The sequence below is a fragment of the Homo sapiens genome, chromosome 3 (assembly GCF_000001405.40).
Source record: "Homo sapiens chromosome 3, GRCh38.p14 Primary Assembly".
Classification (NCBI taxonomy): Eukaryota; Metazoa; Chordata; class Mammalia; order Primates; family Hominidae; genus Homo; species Homo sapiens.
The window spans coordinates 56,846,792-56,867,966 of record NC_000003.12 but is presented as its reverse complement, the minus strand read 5'-3'; the positions used below and the strand labels follow the sequence as shown (position 1 = coordinate 56,867,966).

At 43.7% G+C, this 21,175-nt stretch overlaps 1 protein-coding gene across 16 annotated transcripts in view, besides 1 other annotated feature; it reads left to right on the top strand.

The window, feature by feature from the left end:
• The window catches only part of ARHGEF3 (Rho guanine nucleotide exchange factor 3), a 351,849-nt gene that overhangs the window by 211,302 nt on the left and 119,372 nt on the right, over positions 1-21,175 (top strand). The window lies entirely within an intron of this gene.
• Positions 14,759-15,958: an enhancer, noted in NCBI's record as "P300/CBP strongly-dependent group 1 enhancer chr3:56886037-56887236 (GRCh37/hg19 assembly coordinates)". NCBI's record gives its function as "activates an origin of replication core promoter dependent on BRD2, BRD4, P300/CBP, MED14 and CDK7 cofactors, with strong dependence on P300/CBP, by STARR-seq in HCT116 cells {active_cell/tissue: HCT116}" and the evidence as "EXISTENCE:reporter gene assay evidence [ECO:0000049][PMID:35650434]".

Below are 21,175 nucleotides of genomic sequence, written 5' to 3'. Positions count from 1 at the left end.
TGATCAAGAGTGTGATGGTTTGATAAATAGAGCCAGAATCACACCATTATCACTTCCTCCAGATGGTCATGCCCTCTTCATTTCCACAGTGGCTGGATGTCTAGGGCCTCCAACCTGGTCTTCCTCATTTTCCTTCAGTTCTCTGCTCAAATATTCTTAGACTTCCTCTGTCCCACTATGTGAAATAGCATTTCCAGGCCAGGCGCGGTAGCTTACACTTGTAATTCCAGCACTTTGGGAGGCTGAGGCGGGAGGATTGCTTGAGCTCAGGAGCTCGAGACCAACCTGGGCAACACGACGAAACCCTGTCTCTATGAAAAATATAAAAATTATCCAGGCATGGTGGTGTGCCTGTGGTCCTGGCTACTTGGGAGGCTGAAGCAGGAGGACTGCTTGAGCCCAGGAGGTTAAGGCTGCAGTGAGCCATGATTTCTCCACTGTACTCCAGCTTGGGTGACAGAGCAAGACCTTGTCTCAAAAAAATAAATAAATAAATAAATAAATAAATAGCATTTTAACTCCTCGGCACTCCCCTCTCTTCTTATCTGACTTTATTTTTTCTTCATAGCCTTTATCATCACCTGCCACATTATGTATTTTTTAAATTTATTATATTTGTCTCTTCACAGTAGAATATAATTTTTATTTTGTTGTTTTTGCCATATTATCAACATCTGGGGCAGTGTCTGGCATTGTGTGTCCGATAAACATTTGTTGGATAAATGATTGAGTGGCTACTTGGTTGTTCATATGTTACATGCTGTCTTTGGAAGGTTACTGTAAACATGAACTGGATTTATCTTGGCAACATTTTAAGAACATGTCTTCCTCTACATACATATTTGCCTTCCCTCATTTTTAAAGAAAACCAGTACAACAAAAGGAAAATCAAGGTCTACCTGAAGAGACCTTGTGATATACAAAGCAAGATAGGTAAAAATAATACCAGGCTTTTATGAGCTAATAAATAAGTCAGGCTAAAGACAAGAGGATAGAAGGAATGTGAAATATACACATGATTTCATATGGATGTGGAATTGTTAACACCAGTGCTACACTTAACTCAGTTGGTATGGAAAGATCTCTCAGGATAGTGGTAGGAATGGAAATTTTCTATTAAAATGAAAAACATCCCACTGTTGCAGTCTCAATTCCTTTCCACTTAACGGGTGTTTATTGAGTGCACAACACTATGCCTGGTGCCCACCATGTGGTTACAGAATGAAAGATGCTTGTAAGGAGTTATCAATCAACATACATTGCTTGTTTATCCAAACTTGTGGAAAGGAGTATATTCTAGATGATATAGAAATGACAGAGTACCAGTACATCTTTTATATCTCACTCAGAATATGTTCTAGCTGTTACATTGAAATATGAGTAAGCCTTGCCGCTTGAGCATTCTCAATATTGTGAAAAAAATACAGGAGCCACTTTGAGGAGACCCAGCATTGTTGGAGGTAGGAATGTGCCAGGTTCTCCCTGCTGGACAAGGTGGAATGCTTCCCTGCTTTCTGTCCAGGGTGAGTGGAGCAGCCTCCCCTAGGAACATGACGCAGGGCACCGGTCATACTAACCCACCATCTTTAGTCTCCCTTTTACCCTGTGTGTTTAGCTTGTTTTACTCGGAAAAGGTAAATAAGGTTTTGGTTGAAAATACCTTTTATTGATTATAAGCTTCCAAGACAGGGAAAAACTAAACAGGAGGTGCTGAATGGACCTGAAAATGGACCTGATGATCTACTCAGCTTAATCATGCTAATAAAGAAAGGTGGGGTTTGTTTTGTTTTGTTTTGTGTTTTGAGACAGGATCTCACTCTGCCACACAGGCTGGAGTACAATGGCATGATCACAGCTCACCTCAGCCTTGACCTTCTGGGCTCAAGCAATCCTCCTGCCTCAGCCTTCTGAGTAGCTGGGACCACAGGTGCAGGCCACCACACTTGGCTAATTTATTTCATTTTTTTTTTTTCATTTGCAGATAACCCAAAAGGCAAATGATTCACCTACGGCTAACAGAGGTGATTGCATTTTGAATAGGATGTCTGTCTTTCTTTGGGCTGCTATAACAAAATACCATAGCCTGGGTGGGTTATAAACAACAGAAATTGATTTCTCACAGTTTTGAAGGCTAGGAGTGTGAGATTAGGATTCCAGTTCTGGTGAGGGTCCTCTTCTGGGTTGTAGAGTGTGCTGCTCTCATTACCTACACACTTCCCAAGAGCCCCACCTCCCAATACCATTACATTAAGGGTAGAATTTCAACATATGAATTTCAGAGGGACACAAATATTCTGTTCATAACAATGTCCAAGCTCACAGATCACACCTCACTAGCCACATGCCTAAATGTCATTAAAGGCACAGTAATTTACTAACTTCCATAGAGGAGAGAAAAACCTTTTAAAAACATATTTTTTAACATGGTTTGGATACAGTGAGTTTTCACAAATTTGAATATTATGTGTAACTGAAAAACATTGGCTTTAAAAAATTATAAATTATCTTCCTTTACATTTGATATTTCATGTGGTTTTGCCTTCACATAGAAAAGAAGGTTTCATCATAAGCACGTTTCTGATGTGCATTTCTCATAGCTGTTGACAACTTGCTGTGTTTTGCTCTGCTCTGTTTGCCGTAGCGGAATCATTCTCCTTTCTAACCAATCTGTGCGCTGTGGTAGCATGTTCTCTTCTAGGTTGCTGTTTAAGTTTTGTTATGTGCCTTGATGATGTTCCCTCTCTGTAATACAACCAGAAATTGAGGCTGCGACTTCATTTAAATTATTGTCAGGTTGTGGAAATAGGCCTGCCATGTGCTCGCCATCCCCACAGGGAAGTGGAGGAGTGTCTGAAATGAGAAATGAACCAGCTTCTGGCAACTCATGAAGAATGTGTCTGGAAATAGGGATGGTATGAAGGGAGGGTTATTGCTGTGTTTTATATAATAAAGGGAATGATTAATGGGCTCCCAGTATACCACAGTAAAGAACAAAATTGCCTTTGGGACCTTGGAGGCTTTGTTTAGTTTGGGGGCTTATGTTTGACTGAAGGTCTCATGTTCTTGACAAAAGGGTGACATTTGCTGAGTAAACTTTGAAATTTTATTATATGTAATATAATAACTGAAGAGGGGGCTATCAAGACACTCTCTGAGGAAGGTCTATGTTAAGTGGCATTGATCATTGCATAGCTTCCTGATTTACAGGTGACTTGGAAGATCATTCTAAACTGTAAGGTCCTTGAGGACCTTACATGTATTCTTTTATTCTTTCCTCATTCTTTCATTGATATTCACATTGACTGAGCATCTCCTATAGTCACGCTGTGTTGGTTGGTGGTAAGAGAATAACATGGTGAGCAAACCAGGCAAGGTGCTGGTGACTTACAGTCCAATTATGGAGGCAGATGTTAATAATCACCGTAACAAGAATATAATAACAAATGAAAACAAAAGCTTTGAAGAAAAGAGAGACATGTTGCTGTTAGGGCATTTAACCAGGGAGCTTGACCTAGTCATGAAAGGCCAAGGAAGCCTTTTCTGGGGAAGTGAAAGCTGAAAGAAGGTAAGGTGTTAACCAGGTTAAAGAGGAGAGTGAAAGAGCTGTGACCTTGGGAACAGCATGTGCAAGGGCCCTGTGGCAGGATGGAACATGCTGCTTTGAAGGCAAATGCAGCTGGTAGGTGGTAGATGGTGAGACTGGAGTAGTTGACAGGAACCAGACCACACATAGCTTCAAAGGCTATGCCCAAGATTTGCATCTTTATACTAAGAACAGTATGGAGTCACTAGGAAGGGGATGTGTTAGGCAGGGGTGTCATTTATGCTTTCATTCCTCTGGTTGATTATGAAACCAAGGGTAGATGTGGATGATGAGTAGAAAGCTGCCTTAGTTTTCTGATGAGAGATGGTGGTGTCCTGGCTTAGCTGTCTGTAGGGCAGACAAGTTTGAGAGACATATATGGCTATGTATCTTTACTGCCTGGTCTTGAGTGGGCACTTAGTAAATGTTTCCCTTCTTGGCATGCGTTAGAAGATGTGGGTTTTATTTTACCTTCTGTCATTGTATAGCTATCAGACCTTGTATGTATTGCTTCACCTCTCTGGGTCTCAGTTTCCACAAATATAAAATAATATAGATGAATTGTGTCCTTTCCAGTGCCAAATTCCCTAGGTTCATGATGTTTTGAGTGCTATCGGTTTTTCAGGCAGAGGATTAAAAGGTAAATGTGGGCCGGGTGTGGTGGCTCACACCTGTAATCCCAGCACTTTGGGAGGCTGAGGCAGGTGGGTCACTTGAGGCCAGGAGTTCAAGACCAGCCTGGCCAACATGGTGAAACCCTGTCTCTACTAAAAAATACAAAAATGGCCAGGTGTGGTGGCTCACACCTATAATCCCAGTGCTTTGGGAGGCCAAGGCGGGTGGATTGCTTGAGGTCATGAGTTCAAGACCAGCCTGGCCAACATGGCAAAACCCCATCTCTAGTAAAAATATGAAAATTAGCCGGGCATGGTGGCACACACCTGTAATCCCAGCTCCTCCGGAGGCTGAGGTGAGAGGATCGCTTGAACCTGGGATTTAGAGGTTGCAGTGAGCCAAGATTGCACCACTGCACTCCAGCCTGGGCGACACAGTGAGACAATGTCTCAAAAAAAAAAAAAATTAGCTGGGTGTGGTGGCACACACCTGAATCCCAGCTACTCGGAAGGCTGAGGCATGAGAACTGCTTCAACATGGGAGGCGGAGGTTATAGTGTGCCGAGATCGCGCCACTGCACTCCAGCCTGGGCAACAGAGTGAGACTCTGTCTCAAAAAAAAAAAAGAAAAAGGTAAATGTGTTGGTTTAATAATAGGAGATCAGTATCTGAGTTTGCTTACACAACCATCTTTCTTCAAGTCCTTCTTTCTAACTCCTTGGATGTTAGAAGACATGGTTAGGGGGCACCACTGTATACACTTAACATTTCATTTATGGCAAACAAGACCGGTCTTTAATTAGGTTGCCTTTTTAAAGCACACCAGATGTGAGTCACTAGAAAAACAAAACCAAACTCTTCAAATGAGTAGGAGTGAATGTAAGAATTCTAATGAATCAGCCCAGGGTACACAGCCTAAATGAAGTGGAAAAAGCTAGGGGAGGTTTGCTAAGGGGGTGCATTTGACTCTTGCGTCCTATAAGTTGGGAATCCTTTGTCAGCAGTTGTAACAGGCATGCTCAGCTGCAACCACAAACATTTTCCAATGGAGGAGTGTTGATAGCATTTTCATTGACCTTAAAAAAATAAAAAATCTAATGGCAGGGTCAAGGGGAAGGCAAGAGGTGTAATTTGCTGGTCAGTCTCAGTCAGCCGCCTGCAGCAGCCTCGTCCTGTGTGAGACTTTAAGGGAATGCACATTGGCATGGGGGTTCCCAGGCGGAGGGGGGCCCAGATTCAGCCTTGGCCTCATAGAGGAGCAACAAATTGAAACAAGAGCAGCCCTGTTGACCTTCAGACTGCAAATGGACTGCTTTCTTTGTGCCATGTCGCCCAGTGAAATAATCCTGATAAAAGCTTTTTGTTTAGCCATTGGAACAAGAGCAGGGATTCAGGGAAAGAGTATTTCCCCACCCTTTTAAAAAATGTTTTGGTGTTGGCTGTTCGACAGACCTGGGTTCTGCTGAACCAGTAGGCATTGGAGTAGGGGGATTTGTGGAGTAGGGAGGTTCTTGGTTGGTTCTGAGGTCATCTGCAAGGTTTTTGTTGCATCTCTCACACTTACAGAAGGGCAGTCTGACCCTGCTCCCCCTCCCACTCCCCTCACCCTGCCTTTACCTCCATACCATTCCTTTTAAAGTCCCAAAAGGTGGGTGGGTGGGGAGGGTCAGGGGCTTACTCTTTCATTTGCTCCTTCATTTTAAGCTGTGGATTAGCATCTATGTTTTTGCCTTTGTAGCAGATTGGCCAGAGATAACCCCATTATTTTAGTGCATCCTGTTGCTGTGTATAGGTTTTAGGGATCATTTGGGAACTATTATAGGTTATAGACCAGTGGAAGCAGAGCTGCTGCTTATTAGATTGAAGACATTTGGTAGAGAGAGAGTTAAAAAAAAAAAAAAAAACCAACAGGTTAGAAGGCTTCATTCACTTTTAGAAGAGAGAAAGGAGGAAGAGTCTGAGGTACATTCTATAGCTTTGTGGGAAGAGGGGATGCTTCCGGCAGGATCTTTGGGATTTGGCAGTGGCAGACTCTACTCTTTGCTCCCTGCAAGGCCCTGAACAGCCTCCTGAGGGCCCAGCAGATCCAGGCCTTTCCGACCCCAGCCCTCAGTCCCCAGGCCCTTGTACATTTTATACTCAGGTTCCATTTAAGAAGTGGGAGATCCATAGCCCCTTCTGTAAATGTATCAAGAGAGAAAATCCCGGGCTCAGGGAACTTTGAAGCCTCTGCTTTAGCCACTGCCCCCAAGCCTCCATTGGGCTCAAATTTCCTTGCTTTTCCTGCTAGGAAGACTGTTTCTTTTGCATGCTTTCACCTGGGCAATCTAGGTTTTAAATTTTGAGCATTTGAGGAGCTTGTGTTGGTTTTCTACCAAACCTAGATGATAGATTAGGTTCCAGTTCCTTCCAGCCCCAAGCTTTCTAGACAATCTAAGGCCATCCTTTGACTTCTTCAAAGTTAGATGGCCCCTAAGACTCCTCCATGTCCCACCCCAGTCTGAAGTTGATGGCCAAAGTCCCAGGCAGAAGGCACCAAAAGGGAAGATACCACCCTGGCACTGACCACCACTCACTGGTGACAGGCGCTTCATACTGCAGCAGCCCCTCTGCCTACATAACAAGCCTGAGAGGTGCTTATCATCACACTTGTCTTACAGGAAGCTAAAGCCGACATGGTTTCTTTTCTCCAAGACTTTGCAGATTTGCACAGGGGCCTCTCCTAGCCATGAATCTCCTCTCCTTTCCCTGCAGCAGGGGGCTGGAGGTGCTTTATTTCTGCCGCATTGCCTTTTCATTGTGGGCCTAGAGACCACTCATAAAGGCAGATCTTCTTTGTTCTTTAGTAGCCATGATTCAAGAGAAGCCCTGGTATCGCTCTTCCTTACAGCTGACCATTGCCAGCTTCTGAGCACGAAATGAACTTGGCACGTATTAATCACGTCATCCCCCACCAACCATTAGGCAGATCTTTTTAGAAACATAAATCAGATTACACTCCTTAGTCAAACTCTCCAGTAACTTCCAGGGGCTTCCATGGGGTCTCTAAACTTGGATTGGAAAAAAAATTACATCTGTATTTTCACTAACCTCCAACTGAAATTTACATTTCCTTTCTATAAATGAGGACAAAAAACCACAGCAATATCAGCAGTTACTTGTGACTTTGTCACCAAAAGAACCCACTGTGATTTTCTCTTCACATTATACTGGTTACATATATCTCAGAATATTTTGTATGCCCATTTGATTGTAAAATGACAGTAGTGGTTAGATCTGCCACCATATCTGTTATTTAAACAGGCTAGACACAGTGGCTCACACTTTGGGAGGCTGAGGTGGAAGGACTGCTTGAGGCCAGGAGCTAGAGACCAGCCTGGGCAACATAGTAAGACCCCATCTCTACAAAAAAATTATAAAATCAGCTGGCCATGGTTGCACACACCTGTAGTCTCAGCACACTACTCAGGAAGCTAAGGCAGGAGGATCACGTGAGCCCAGGAATTTGAGGCTGCAGTGAGCCATGATCGTACCACTACACTCCATCCTGGGTGACAGAGTGAGACTCTGTCTCTAAAAAATAAAAATAAAAAATAAATATGAACAAAGAAGTTATTTAATAAATTAGATTTTTATGTTGCAAATTATATTTTATTTTTAATTAAATTGTTTGTTTATATTAATTTTTATCTATCTATCGATCTATCTATCTATCTATCTATCTATCTCTCTTGAGACCAGGTTATGAGACTGGCTAATTTTTGTATTTTTAATAGAGACAGGGTTTCGCCATGTTACCCAGGCTGGTCTGGAACTCCTGAGCTCAGGCAATCCACCCACCTCAGCCTCCCAAAATGCTGGGATTACAGGTGTGTGAACCATCATGCCCAGCTCAATGTAATGAGTTTTCTTAATCAGAAGTGTACCAACGGGGCTGGGTGTAGTGGCTCATGCCTGTAACCCCAGCACTTTGGGAGACCGAGGTGGGCAGATCCCTTGAGGTCAGGAGTTCGAGACCAGCCTGGCCAACATGGCAAAACCTGTCTCTAACTTAAAAAAAAAAAAAAAAATTAGCCTGGTGTGGTGGTTTGTGCCTGTAGTCCCAGCTACTCGGGAGGCTGAGATGGGAGAATCGCTTTAGCCTGGGAGGTGAAAGTTGCAGGGAGCCGAGATCTCTGCTCCACTGCACTCCAGCCTGGGTGACAGAGTGAGACCCTGTCTCAAAAAAAAAAAAGGTGTACCAAGGGGGTGGCAAGAGGGATGTGGGCTCAGTCTGCCCTGGATTTAGGCAACAAGGTGGTGTGCTTTTATTATTTAAAAACAATAATACAGGCTGAGCACGGTGGCTCCTGCCTGTGATCCCAGCACTTTGGGAGGCCGAGGTAGGCGGATCACGAGGTCAGGAGATCGAGACCATCCTGGCTAACACGGTGAAACCCTGTCTCTACTAAAAAAATACAAAAAATTAGCCGAGCCTGGTGGTGGGCGCCTGTAGTCCCAGCTACTCGGGAGGCTGAGGCAGGAGATTGGCGTGAACCCGGGAGGCAGAGCTTGCAGTGAGCCGAGATCACACCGCTACACTCCATCCGTCTCAAAAACAAAACAAAACAATAATACAGTCAACTTAAAGTCTATTCTTCTATGATCACTATAAGCTGGTAACTCTAAACAATGTCCATGATAAAAATACTCTTCCCTGGCGGGATAAATCACTCCCATAATCTCCCTGCCCCCACAGTCCCATCCTTGGTCTTTCATAATCCTACATTTTTTTGTTTTTGTCTTCGCCATTTAAAAACATTTTGCAAGCAGAGGTCCATAGGGTTCAGCAGGCTGCCTAGGAAGTATATAACACAGAAACAAGTAAGAATCCCTGACTTAAAATAAAATGTAGATCCACTTTCCTTGGCCTATAGGGCCCAAATGTCTAGGCTCCTGCCCACCTGCCAACCTCATTTCCCTCCACCCTCTCCATCTCTTGGCACCTTCTAATAAACCAGAATTTATTGATGCTACTGAAACATTCAAGGTTTATTCTTTCCTTTCTTATTCCCCCAGATATGACTCCCACCTTGTTCTGATCTCAGCTTTCAATGTCACCTCCTTGCAAAGGCCATTCCTGGTAACTCAATTTAAAGCAGGCCTTGCCCTCCCCGCAAGTGCTTTCTGTGCTGTTGTTACTATCTAAACCATCTGTTGTTCTTGTTGACTGTCTTCCTCCCCTCACCAGAAGGTAAACCCACAAGCACAGACAGGGACTGCCATTGTCAATTGTTATAATCTCTAGCATCTTGGCAGGCACTGGTAGGGGCTCAGTATCCTCAGAGCTGAGTTTGCTTCTCTTGAACTTTCTGTGGTAGCAGCCAGTTAATATATATTTAATTACTAGGCTTAAACCCATTAAAATTCCTACAAAACCTGGAAAAATGTACTCAGCTATAAAAATGCATGTGGATACAGTGAATGGATAGTGCAACCATTACAGTGAAGGAAAGAAGAAGCCTTTTTTTTTTTTTTTTTTTTTTTGAGACAGGGTCTTGCTCTGTTTCCCAGGCTGGAGTGCAGTGGTGCAAACATGGCTCACTGCAGCCTCCACCTCCCAGGCTCAAGCGATCCTCCTGCCTCAGCCTCCTGAGTAGCCGGGACTACAGACATGCACCACCATGCCTGGCTAATTTTTGTATTTTTTTATAGAGATGGGGTTCCACCATGTTGCCTAGGCTAGTCTTAAACTCCTGGGCTCAAGCAGTCTGCCACCTCAGCCTCCCAAAGTGCTACGATTACAGGCATGAGCTGCTAAACCAAGAAACTTTCAAAATGTAATTTGTAGGTCAGAAAAATGGTGCCAGAACTGGATGCAGTGGCTTGCATCTATAGTCCCAGCTATGCAAAGGCTAAAGCATAACTGGGCATAGCTTGAACCCAGGAGTTTGAGGCTGTAGTGTGCTACGATTGTGCCTGTGAATAGCCACTGCACTCCAGCCTGGGCAACATAGTAAGAGGCTGTTTCCTAAAAAAGAACCAAAGAGCAAAGAAACTTTTTAGAGAAAAGGAAAAGGAAATGGCACCAGATTCCCCCATCTCCCCGCTTCTTTGGTGTTATAGCCGTTTGGAGAAAGCAACAGGAATCCTGACTCACAGAGCCTTAGATAGAGATGCTTTGTATGTCACAGAATAAAAAGTACAGAGTTAGGTCAATCCCTGATTGACTGACTCAATTACTAAACTATCACCAAACACACAAGTCCTTTCCATCTCCTTAAACTCTTTGTGCTCTTCAGGCTGGTGTCCCTCATGGTTGCAAGATGGCTGCCAGTAGCCACTGGGTTGATATGTTTCCCTTTTCCAGCAAATAAGTTCTTCCCTTTAGTGTGATTGGGTACATTAGGTCACATGCTTGTCCCTGGGTCAATAATAGTCCCAGGAGGAATGCCATGAAGATTGACTCAGACTCTGCCTTGGGGATGAACGGGGTGAATAGTTGCGGAAAATAGGAGTTCCTTAAAGAGGGAGAAAGGGAAATCAACGTTAGGAAGGCAACCCACCGTGGCCACTGTAGATGTGGCTTGTTTTAAAATCAAATTTATTTTTGTTTTAATTTTGAGGAATAACCACTTAGAATAGCTTCTGATGGGAATGATCCTAATCTTTTTATTTTTTCAAATATGTAGGGCTTTTTTTCTTCTAGAAAAAAATTTTAAAAAATTATTGCCTTTATCTTGGCTTTGTTATCAGTCATGTGATCTGGCAGCTGAAGAAATATGGCCCATGGCTGCAGACTTGGATGCTTATATAACAGGCTTTGGTCTCCATAGTTAGTTTTAAATGGAGAGTGTGTGCCAGGGATTTGGAAAAGCTCTAATGTAAATTTTCAAAGAAATAACATTGCTTAGACCTTACTTAGATTATGAAGAGTAAGTTGGTTCATCTTGGGAGGCAGAGCAAAGCCTCTAAGCAAGCTCTGGAAAGCCTCTAGATTTTTTTTTTTTTAATTCCAGTTTTATTACAGCAGAAGTGTCAGCCACTATCTTGATGGATGCTATGAAGTTAAAAAAAAAAAACAAAAAACCTCTCAAGATGGAAAAGAATTTGGCTCACTTTAGGAAAATTCTAAAACAAGAGGTATAAGCAAATGAAGGGCTGTAGAAGGGCTGTAGCAGAGGAGGGAGGGCCCCAGAGACAGAGGTCAGGGAGAGGGGTTGGGACATGGTGGGTGGTGGGGAAGGGGGAGGGGGACCCAAGGAGAATCAAGCCATATCTGTAAAGAGGATCTGTATTCATGAATTACCGGTGTAATAAAACATAAATGAAAGACAGTGTCAGTTTATAAGCAATAAATAGACAAGTAAAATTGCAGTATTAGACTTGATGACATAAGAATCCTTCCATCCCATGTCAGCCCTTGAAAGCTCTGGAGTAAAAGGCTAGAGAAAGAGCCTGGATTTCCAAAAATGTTGACTCACTGTCCTTATAGACAGATACTAGACATAGATCATTTTCTTATTTTCTTTCTCTTTATCCTGTTCCTCTTATTATCCCTCCGCTTCCTTTTTATCCCCGAGTTACGTGTATTTTATGTGGCTTGGTATCTTCTGATGGCGACACCCCCCAGGACTGACTGGTTATGGACTCAGATTGTCCAGACCCCTACCAGACATCTCGTCCACCACTGGCCAGGCCCCTGGCCCCACATCTTCCTCCTCTGCGGCAGGGCCCCCTGCTGGTCTGCAGGCTCTCTGCTCCTTTGAGAGTAAAACAATGAAATGTCACAACCAGGAAAAGAAAAGAAGCCCTTTGAGCCAAGTAGTGGAATTGAAAAATGACACTTGTCTTTTCTGGGATATTGTTTTAGAAGTTAAATTTCCTTTCATTTTAGGGTTAAGCGTAAGTATTTGGAATGCCTTTTCTGACGGTAACTGTGTCATCATCATCTGTACATCTATGTCACAAATTTGGGAGAGCTGTGGTTCAGCATGACAGTTTTTCCTTCCACTTTAGTGTCGTAGTTGTATGTAGCAGTCATTTACAGGGGGTAGGAGAGTGGAGAAGGAGGGAAGACAGGCAGCCCAGAGTACTTTTTTTTTTTTTTTTGAGACAGTCTCACTCTTGCCCAGGCTGGAGTGCAGTGGCGTAATCTCGGCTCATTGCAACCTCTGCCCCCCAGGTTCAAGCGATTCTCCTGCCTCAGCCTCCCGAATAGCTGGGATTACAGGCACATGCCACCACGCCCAGCTAATTTTTGTATTTTTAGTAGAGAGGGGTTTTACCATGTTGGCCAGGCTGGTCTTGAACTCCTGACCTCAAGTGATCTGCCTGCCTCAACCTTCCAAAGTGCTAGGATTACAGGCAGGAACCACCACGCCCAGCCCAGACTACTTGTTTTTGCATCAGTAAAGGCCATTTATTGCTGCCAAATGAGTGTTTTGAAAAGAGTTAGCAAACGTGTATTTGAATTCCTGCTCTTCCACTTTTTAGATATGTGGTCTTGAGAAAAGACCTCCAGATAAAAATGGGAACAACAATAAATAGTGCTTGACAACCTTCAGTCTTTCCTATCTCAATAAAAACCCTTTGGTGACTGCAGGCACCCCTCCCTCCTGCCCCTCACCTCTCTCCCTCCTCTCCACCCACCTCAGCCTGGATTCCTCCTTTTCCCCTCCTCTGACCTTGTTATTGTACTCCATACTATTGTGTTGAATAAGTGACTCAACTGCCTTGGCCACCAGGTCTTGCCATGGCCATATCTAGTGACTTTTTCCACTCTGACCTCTGCCATGTGCTACATAAGATTGACTTTCTCTCTGTGACTGCACACTCTCCTGTTTACTGCTCACATTTCTGACCACTCCATCTTGGATTCCTTTGCAGTTACCCCTTCTTGTGTCCATCCCTTAATTGGGGGTGTCCCTCAGGGTCCTGACAGAGGCCTTTGGGATAGCTGCTTTTGAAGTTCTCCCCTAAACTTCTTACCTTTCCTACCTGCCCCCCAACCCCCCCACCCCTCTAGGTATTTGCATCCCCCCAAATAGTACCTATCTGTTGCCAAAGCCAGAAGCTGGGGTGGCATCATGGCCTCTTTCCTTTACCTTGTTTCCCACCAAATCTCAACCTGCCTGCCTTCTAAATATCTCCAGAGTCCTCCAGTTTTCTTCAGCCCAGTGACTCTACCTTTCAGAGGCTGCTTAGTCTTTGGCCTGCATTCCTGCTGCTAACTTGGAGATCTGCCTGCCTCCTTTCTGTCTCTCAAATCCATTCCCCACACTGAACCCGAGGCATCTTCCTAAAACACAAGTTGGGTTCCCGCTTCACCACTTTACATCCTTTGCTGCTTCTCCCTGTTTCCTTCAGAGAAAGCCTGAGGATAAATACTCCTCCTTAACGTGGCTTTGAGACCCAGCCCCTGCATGCTTGTGTCTTTCTCCATTGCACTGCTCCTTCTCCATATGCCAGCTAAACAGATCTGGGCTTCCTTGACATAGTCCTTTCTACCCTCTGGTCTTTCTGCCTGGAATCTTTCTTTTCTTTCCTTTGTCCTCACCCTTTTTGTGCCTAATTGTTTTTTTGTTTTGTTTTTTTAGATGGAGTCTCGCTCTGTCACCCAGGCTGGAGTGCAGTGGCGCCATCTCGGCTCACTGTAAGCTCTGCCTCTCGGGTTCACACCATTCTCCTGCCTCAGCCTCCCCAGTAGCTGGGACTGCAGGCGCCTGCCACCACACCCGGCTAGATTTTTCTATTTTTAGTAGAGACGGGGTTTCACCGTGTTAGCCAGGACAGTCTCAATCTCCTGACCTCGTGATCCACCCTCCTCGGCCTCCCAAAATGCTGGGATTACAGGCGTGAGCCACTACGCCTGGCCAATTGTCTTTCTATGTAACTTCTACTGAGAGCCCTCCCCTGACCCTCAAACAGAGGTGACCCCTCCGAAGGCTTCCATAGGAGCCCATGTTCTTACTTGGCGTGTAAGTGCCTGCAAAGCCTGGCATAACTCTTGGCATGTAGTATGTGCGTCACAAATACTCAACAAAGGAAGGGAAGGAATGAGCATCCATGGCTTGTGGAAGAGGTGTTATAAATTTTAAAGCATTCATTAATTTTGGTTCTTAACATTGAGCAACATAGTCTACAATAAAAATTGAGCCGGGCATGGTGACTCACACTTGTAATCCCAGCACTTTGGGAGACTAAGGCAGTCAGATCATCAGGTCAGGAGTTCGAGACCAGCCTGGCCAATACAGTGAAACCCCGTCTCTACTAAAAATACAAAAATTAGCCAGGCGTGGTGGCACATGCCTGTAATCCCAGCTACTTGGGAGGCTGAGGCAGGAGAATTGCTTGAACCCAGGAGACAGAGGTTGCAGTGAGCCGAGATGGTGCCATTGCACTCCAGGCTGGGGGACAAGAGCTAAACTCCATCTCAAAATAATAATAAAAATAATAAATAAAAATTGAGCAATAACTGTTGAGCAGCAAAGTAGCTCAGTTATATTTTTGAGTGTGGAAGATGTGAGCTTCCTTCTACACAATCTCTCGACCTTTTGGCTGGTAGACTTTTGGCTTGTCACCACCCCAGATTTTTCTTTAACAATGCATGTCCTCTGTTCTGTTACCTCTGTACCCCATGCTCAGGTACTACAGGAGGGTGCTGAATTGAAAGAAATAAGAAACACAGTTCATCATATGTATAGATTTCCATTTTTGGATCAAATTCAAAGTTTAAAAATCTGCTGTTCTTGGGAGGTCTTGTTTTCTTGAACACAAATGCCCCTGAATTTCAACTAGAGATTCTTGACTAAAGCACTTTCTGGCTATTTTTAGCCCTTACTTTTACTGTTTCTAAAATGCAATGCATGGTCTATACATCCATCGAGCAGACAAGGTTCCTTTTTGGAAGGAATAATTCTAGTGAGTCAAGGAAATGGTTGAGAGGATAGAGGGGACATGTCAGATCAGGGTTTGATGAATCAGCCAGCCCAGCCCGAAACTGAAAAGATTATCAGCTGCATATTTCACATTTTCTTCTCCAAGTTGACCATTAAGAATGGCATATTATACAATTGGGTTTTTTTACAGCATGTGAATCAACTTGTGACAATTCGGTAGGTTTTTTTTTTCTTTAATCCCATGAAACAAAAGAGAACTAGCTATGATTTTGGTCTGTAGAGATAAGGAGAAAGGATCATAGCTCTGTAGCTTTCTGCTGACGCATTAGAGAATTTGAAAAAACAGCAGTTTTGGTCTTTGGATGTGTGTGTGCACGTGTACACGCATGTGTGTGTAAGTGTGTCAGGCTGTACCTTCTGGGGACTGGTACTGCAATAGGGTCAGTGTGGTAGGTCCAGCAGTCCCCTTTTATCTGGTCTCTGACATCTCTGGGCTCTGATTCAATTCAAAGAAACTACAAAAGAACACTTACTCAGATTCTGCCTCCTGTGAGATGAAATCATCTAAGAAATCAAGAAAACGAAGGAAAATGAAAATACGTTCGAACATGCAGGGCACCATGGGGCCCTGGAGACTTCATCACAGAGGGTGCTCAGGAGGAAGATTCTCACTTCTACACTAGGGAATTTTTTCCGGAATGACCCATAGCTCTGCTGTCTAGTAGGCTTTCCCTGCCCAAGGGAAGGTCCAGGTTTGGGAAATACTAAGGTGGAAGCACAGTGAGTCATGTATGAGGAAGACTCACAGGTCCTCAGGGGTGACCACCCCTTCCAGGGTAAGGGTCAGATAACAGAGGCTCCAAGGGCCAAATCCACAAGGCTGGATGCCACCTGTAACCACTGACATTTTCTTACCCAGACATGATATGACCCATTAGCATAACATTAATACTGAATCTTTGTTAAAAGTAAAGTTCGTAAGACCAGGCATGGTAACTCGTACCTGTAATTGCAGCCCTTTGGGAGGCTGAGGTGGGTGGATCACTTGAGCCTGGGAGTTCAAGACCAGCCTGGGCAACATTGTGAATGCCCTGAGTAACTTAATTTTTTCTTCTTTTTGCTTTGTCTGTATCTTCTAATTTTTCTTCAGAGATTATATATTACTTACAAGTTTAAAAACAAATTGTTTTTAAAGAAAAGAGGGCCAGGCATGGTGGCTCATGCCTGTAATATTAGCACTTTGGGAGGCTGAGGTGGGTGGATCACTTGAGCCCAGGAGATTAAGACCAACTTGGGCGACATGGTAAAACCCCCTCTCTACATAAAATACAAAAATTAGCTGGGCATGGTGGTGTGCACCTGTAGTCCCAGCTACTTGGGAGGCTGAGGTGGGTGAATTGCTTGAACTCTTTCAGCCTACGGAACTGTAAGAAATAAATTTCTTTTCTTTACAAACCACCCAGCCTGTGGTATTCTGTTACAGCAACACAAAATAGACTAAGACAATAGTATTGAAGGAAAGACTGGAGAGACAAAAGCCCATTAGGAGGTGATAGAGATAGTCCAGGTGAGGATGATTCGGGTATTGAAGGAGGGCAGGAGAGAGGTGAGGTTCAAGCTGAATCCACAGTGCTAGGAGGGAGGTGGGAAGGTGATCATGAGGACTCAATAGCCTTTTGTCCTTAACTAGAGCTGAGACGGATGGAGGAGAAATGGGGTAGGGAGAAGGGAGGGTGTCCCTGCAGGCACAGAGGAAGTGAGGATATGGGGGACACATGTACCCACCCTTAGTACACAACCAGGGCCCTCAGGTGGAATCTGAGGGAATTCTCCACCAAAAAACAAGGTGGTAAACCGGTGAAGAGATAAAGCTAGGAGCCTGACCGCCTGGGATTCAGTCTTCACTCTACCACTTACTAGCTACATGACTTCATCAAGTGACTTGACCTCTTCTGTGCCTCAGTTTCCTCATCCATATATTGGAGATAATAATAGTGCCTACCTCATAATGTTGTTATGAGGATAGGATTAGATTAGTTAATATTTTTAAAGTATTTAGCATGGCTCCTGGCATGTAGTAAGCTCCATAAAATGACTGATGATAAAAATTGAAACTAGAGTGTGAGCCCCTTGAAGGCCTGGAATGGATGTTTAATTGGCTTCTCTCCAAGAGCCTCACATAGTGCCAGGCAGGTATATAAATAGTTGTCAAACGAATACACAATTCAATTTTGTAAATTATTTTTTGACTATACCATGAGTTAAACAGAACTTAGAGGGCTTTGTTTCCTACTTATGGAAAATGACCCCACTTCATTTCAGGTTCCAAATAACCAACTTTTGTTTTGTTTTGTTTTGTTTAGACAAGAGTTTTACTCTGTCACCCAGGCTGCAGTACAGTGGTGCTATCTCAGCTCACTGCAACCTCTGCACCCCAGGTTCAAGTGACTCTCCTGCCTCAGCCTCCCTAGTAGCTGGGACTACAGGCATGTGCCACCACGCCCAACTAATTTTTGTATTTTTAGTAGAGACAAGGTTTCACCATGTTGGCCAGGCTGGTCTCGAAACCCTGACCTCAAGTGATCCCCCTGCCTTGGCCTCCCAAAGTGCTGGGATTACAGGTATGAGCCACCGTGTCCAGACCCAAATAACCAAGTTTATAAAGAAATTCTGGTATGTAACTATTTCATCAGATGGGGACTGCTGATATTTTCAAAAATTCCAGGAACTGCAGTGCCTTGTACCTACATGTGATGGATGATGTGGGAAAGCATCAATTAAGAAACAAATAGGGCTTAGGAACAGTGTTGATAAGGCTCGGGCTGTGTGTTACTGGTGAGGGGGTGGTGGGTGCGGGGGAAGGGTAATACTTAAAACCCAGAAAATGCATAAAACAACTTAGTTTTGGATCTTGAACAAAAATTGATAAGATCTAAGGCCCGAGGACTCCATTTGGTAAGGCGTGTTTTCCAAAAGGCCCTTTCAGCTGTCATATCCCGGCAGGAGTATAAAGTGGCCCTCGGAGCGGGAAAACAAGGGAAGATGAATGCAGGCACAGTATTTTTAGAATGCATTGTTCTCTAAATTCTAGAAACAGCCAACCTAGATGAAAATGTGTTTTCAGAGACACTTTTCCACTCTTTGTGCTACTTTAAGATTGATATCTAGAAATAGAAAACTGTGTTTTCTTTGTCTGGTGATTAAATTTCTTGTTTTTTTTTTTACTCAGAGATGAGGAGGGACCATCTATTTTGGGCTACTAGGGTTGGCATAACAGCATCTTTAAGGCAACAGGACACAGGCATTGTGGGAGGGAAGCAGCTAACATTTAGCTTTTACTCTGTGGACTTAGCGTGTATTTTCTCCTTTAATCCTTTCCACAACCCTGGGAAGTTGCTACTATCACTGTTCCCATTTTTACTGATGAAAAATATGAAGCTGGAAGAGGTGAAGAAAGTGGATCAAAGCTGTATCTTTACATTGCTAAAATGAATCCAGAGACTATCACTAAGCTGTGTGTCAATATACGTACAGATTGTATATATATTTACCTGGAAAAAACCTCATCAAACACATGTAATTTTTATTTTAAATAAATCAGAATTTTAGCTTCTCATGCACACTTGTAAAGAAGAATTATGTAAGTTCCTGGTAAAAGACCTTCTAATTCTGTAGGTACAGGACACTTAGGTGCTATTTTGTAATCCCCAGGAACATACAGAATGAAGAAGCCTCACAAAAGGCTGCTCTCACGTCAGCAGGAGCTGAGTGAGGCTTGATTCACTGAAATTAAGATAAAAATAAAGCTCTTTTAGTGGTTTTACTAAATAAAGAGCGGATACCTGCTGATAATAATTAGTGTTCAGTTCAGCCTCTTTAAAAAGCCGCTGGTACATCAAGTGTATTAACATGCCTCAGTGGGGCCAGGTGCGGTGGCTCACGCCTATAATCTCAGCAGTTTGGGAGGCCAAGAGGGGTGGCTCACCTGAGGCCAGGAGTTGGAGACGAGCCTGGCCAACATGGTGATACTCCGTCTCTACTAAAAATACAAAAAATTAGCCAGCTGTGGTGGTGGGCACCTGTAATCCCAGCTACTCGGGAAGCTGAGGCAGGAGAATTGCTTGGAACTCAGGAAGCAGAGGCTGCAGTGAGCCGAGATCACACCATTGCGCTCTAGCCTGGACAACAAGAGCAAGACTCCATCTCAAAATAAATAAACAAATAAAGTCTTAGTGGGAGAGAGTTGCGTGGCCATTGTTCAACGGTGTATATGTAAGACTGTGTTCTCTGCAGCCCTACCCCCTACCAAATGACTTTTATTATGTGATAACAACAATAAATTACCTTTTGTTGAGCTCCTACATTTTTCAGGAATAGTACCAGATCCTTTGCTTATATTTTTATTATTTTACCATTTACATGTCCCAAAAAGCCCTCTAAGGGAGAGGGTATTATAGCCATTGTACAGTTGGGGAGACCGAGGGTCTGAGGAGTTAAGTGAATTGCCCAAAGCTACAGAGCTAGCATGTGGCATAGCCTAGAGTTGATTCCCCAAATATTTTATTTTTGTTTATTATAGACATTTTCAAGCAAGCACAAAATTCGAGAGATGAGTATAGTGAAGTCCCTTTATCACTCACCCAGTCCTAACAGTTATCATAGTTTACCATTATTCTTTTACCTATTCCCTCATCCACATACTTTTTTTTAAAGCAAATTCCAGACACCCTATCATTTAATCCACAGATAAAACCCTAAGGTAGCTTAAATGTCACATTAACATTTCTCTCTTTAAAGCTATTTCCTACTCAGCCCAACCCTTTCTTTGCTCCCCAGTGCACATTTCCCGAGTCCATGGTGCTTATTGTAGTCGTGATGTCTCCATCTCTGTGTGTTGGCTTCTCAAAGGCAGGAGCTGTGCCTTCCTTCCCCCACATCCTAACCACAGTGCATAGCACTGCACTCTACACTGAGTAAGCAGGGCCTGACTACTGTTCACAAAATCAAGGGTAGGCCAGGCATGGTGGCTCACACCTGTAATCCCAGCACTTTGGGAGGCCAAGGCGGGAGGACTGCCTGAGGTCAGGAGTTCAAGAACAGCCTGGCCAACATGGTAAAACCCTGTCTCTACTAAAAATACAAAAATTAGCTGGGCATGGTGGTGGATGCCTGTGTTCCTAGTTACTCGGGAGGCCGAGGCAGGAGAATCTCTTGAACCTGGGAGACGAAGGTTGCAGTGAGCCGAGACCACGCCACTGCACTCTAGCCTGGGCTACAAGATTGAGACTCTGTCTCAAAACTAAAATAAGATAACAAATAAAATCAAGGATAAATGCTCTTAAAGACTTCTCAACTTTTACAAGTTGGGGGTTCACTATTTTCGAATAATGCCAGAAAAACAAGAGAATCTTTGATGAAAGAGGTGATAAAATGCTCCCTCCTCACCTCCAGCTTGCTGCTTCCACCTTGAAAGCATCTTACTAAACGTACAGCACAGTTGGCCAAAAACATGCTTGGGAAACCAAATTGAAGGTATAAGATGAGGCTGAATTTGGTTTGAATTTGCAAATTTGAGTCTTAGAATTATGCCTCAATTTGGTTGAATTGGCTCCAAGACAGAAGAAACTGCTTTCATGGAGTGAATTATGAGGAGCTGGGAAGACCACATTACCCCTGAGTTACAATTCTTCTTGTGAATCTTTCTATCTGTAGTTTATGATTTGGTGAAAATGTAGGGAGCTTGGGAGGTAGAGTCAGAAAACCTATGTTCTAACCCCTCCACCCCCTATTCTGACTCTAATTCACTGTGACCTTAGGCAGGTCACTTAAACCTCTCTGAGCCTCTGTTTCTTCATCCATCCATTCAGTAAATACTACTAAGTGCCTACTAAGTGCTGGGCACTGGGCATCAAGTAAGATTGTTTGTGTCAAAGTAATTTGTAAATAAATCCTGTAAGAACTATTGATGTTTTCCTTGTTAAAATGCAATTATTAATGTTTTCCTGGTTAAAATGCAACCTTTGGAGGAGAGCACTTTGAATAGCAGTCTATCCTTGTGGGTGATTCTTAGCATTTTAGAGCTTTGACAGGGAAAGGAA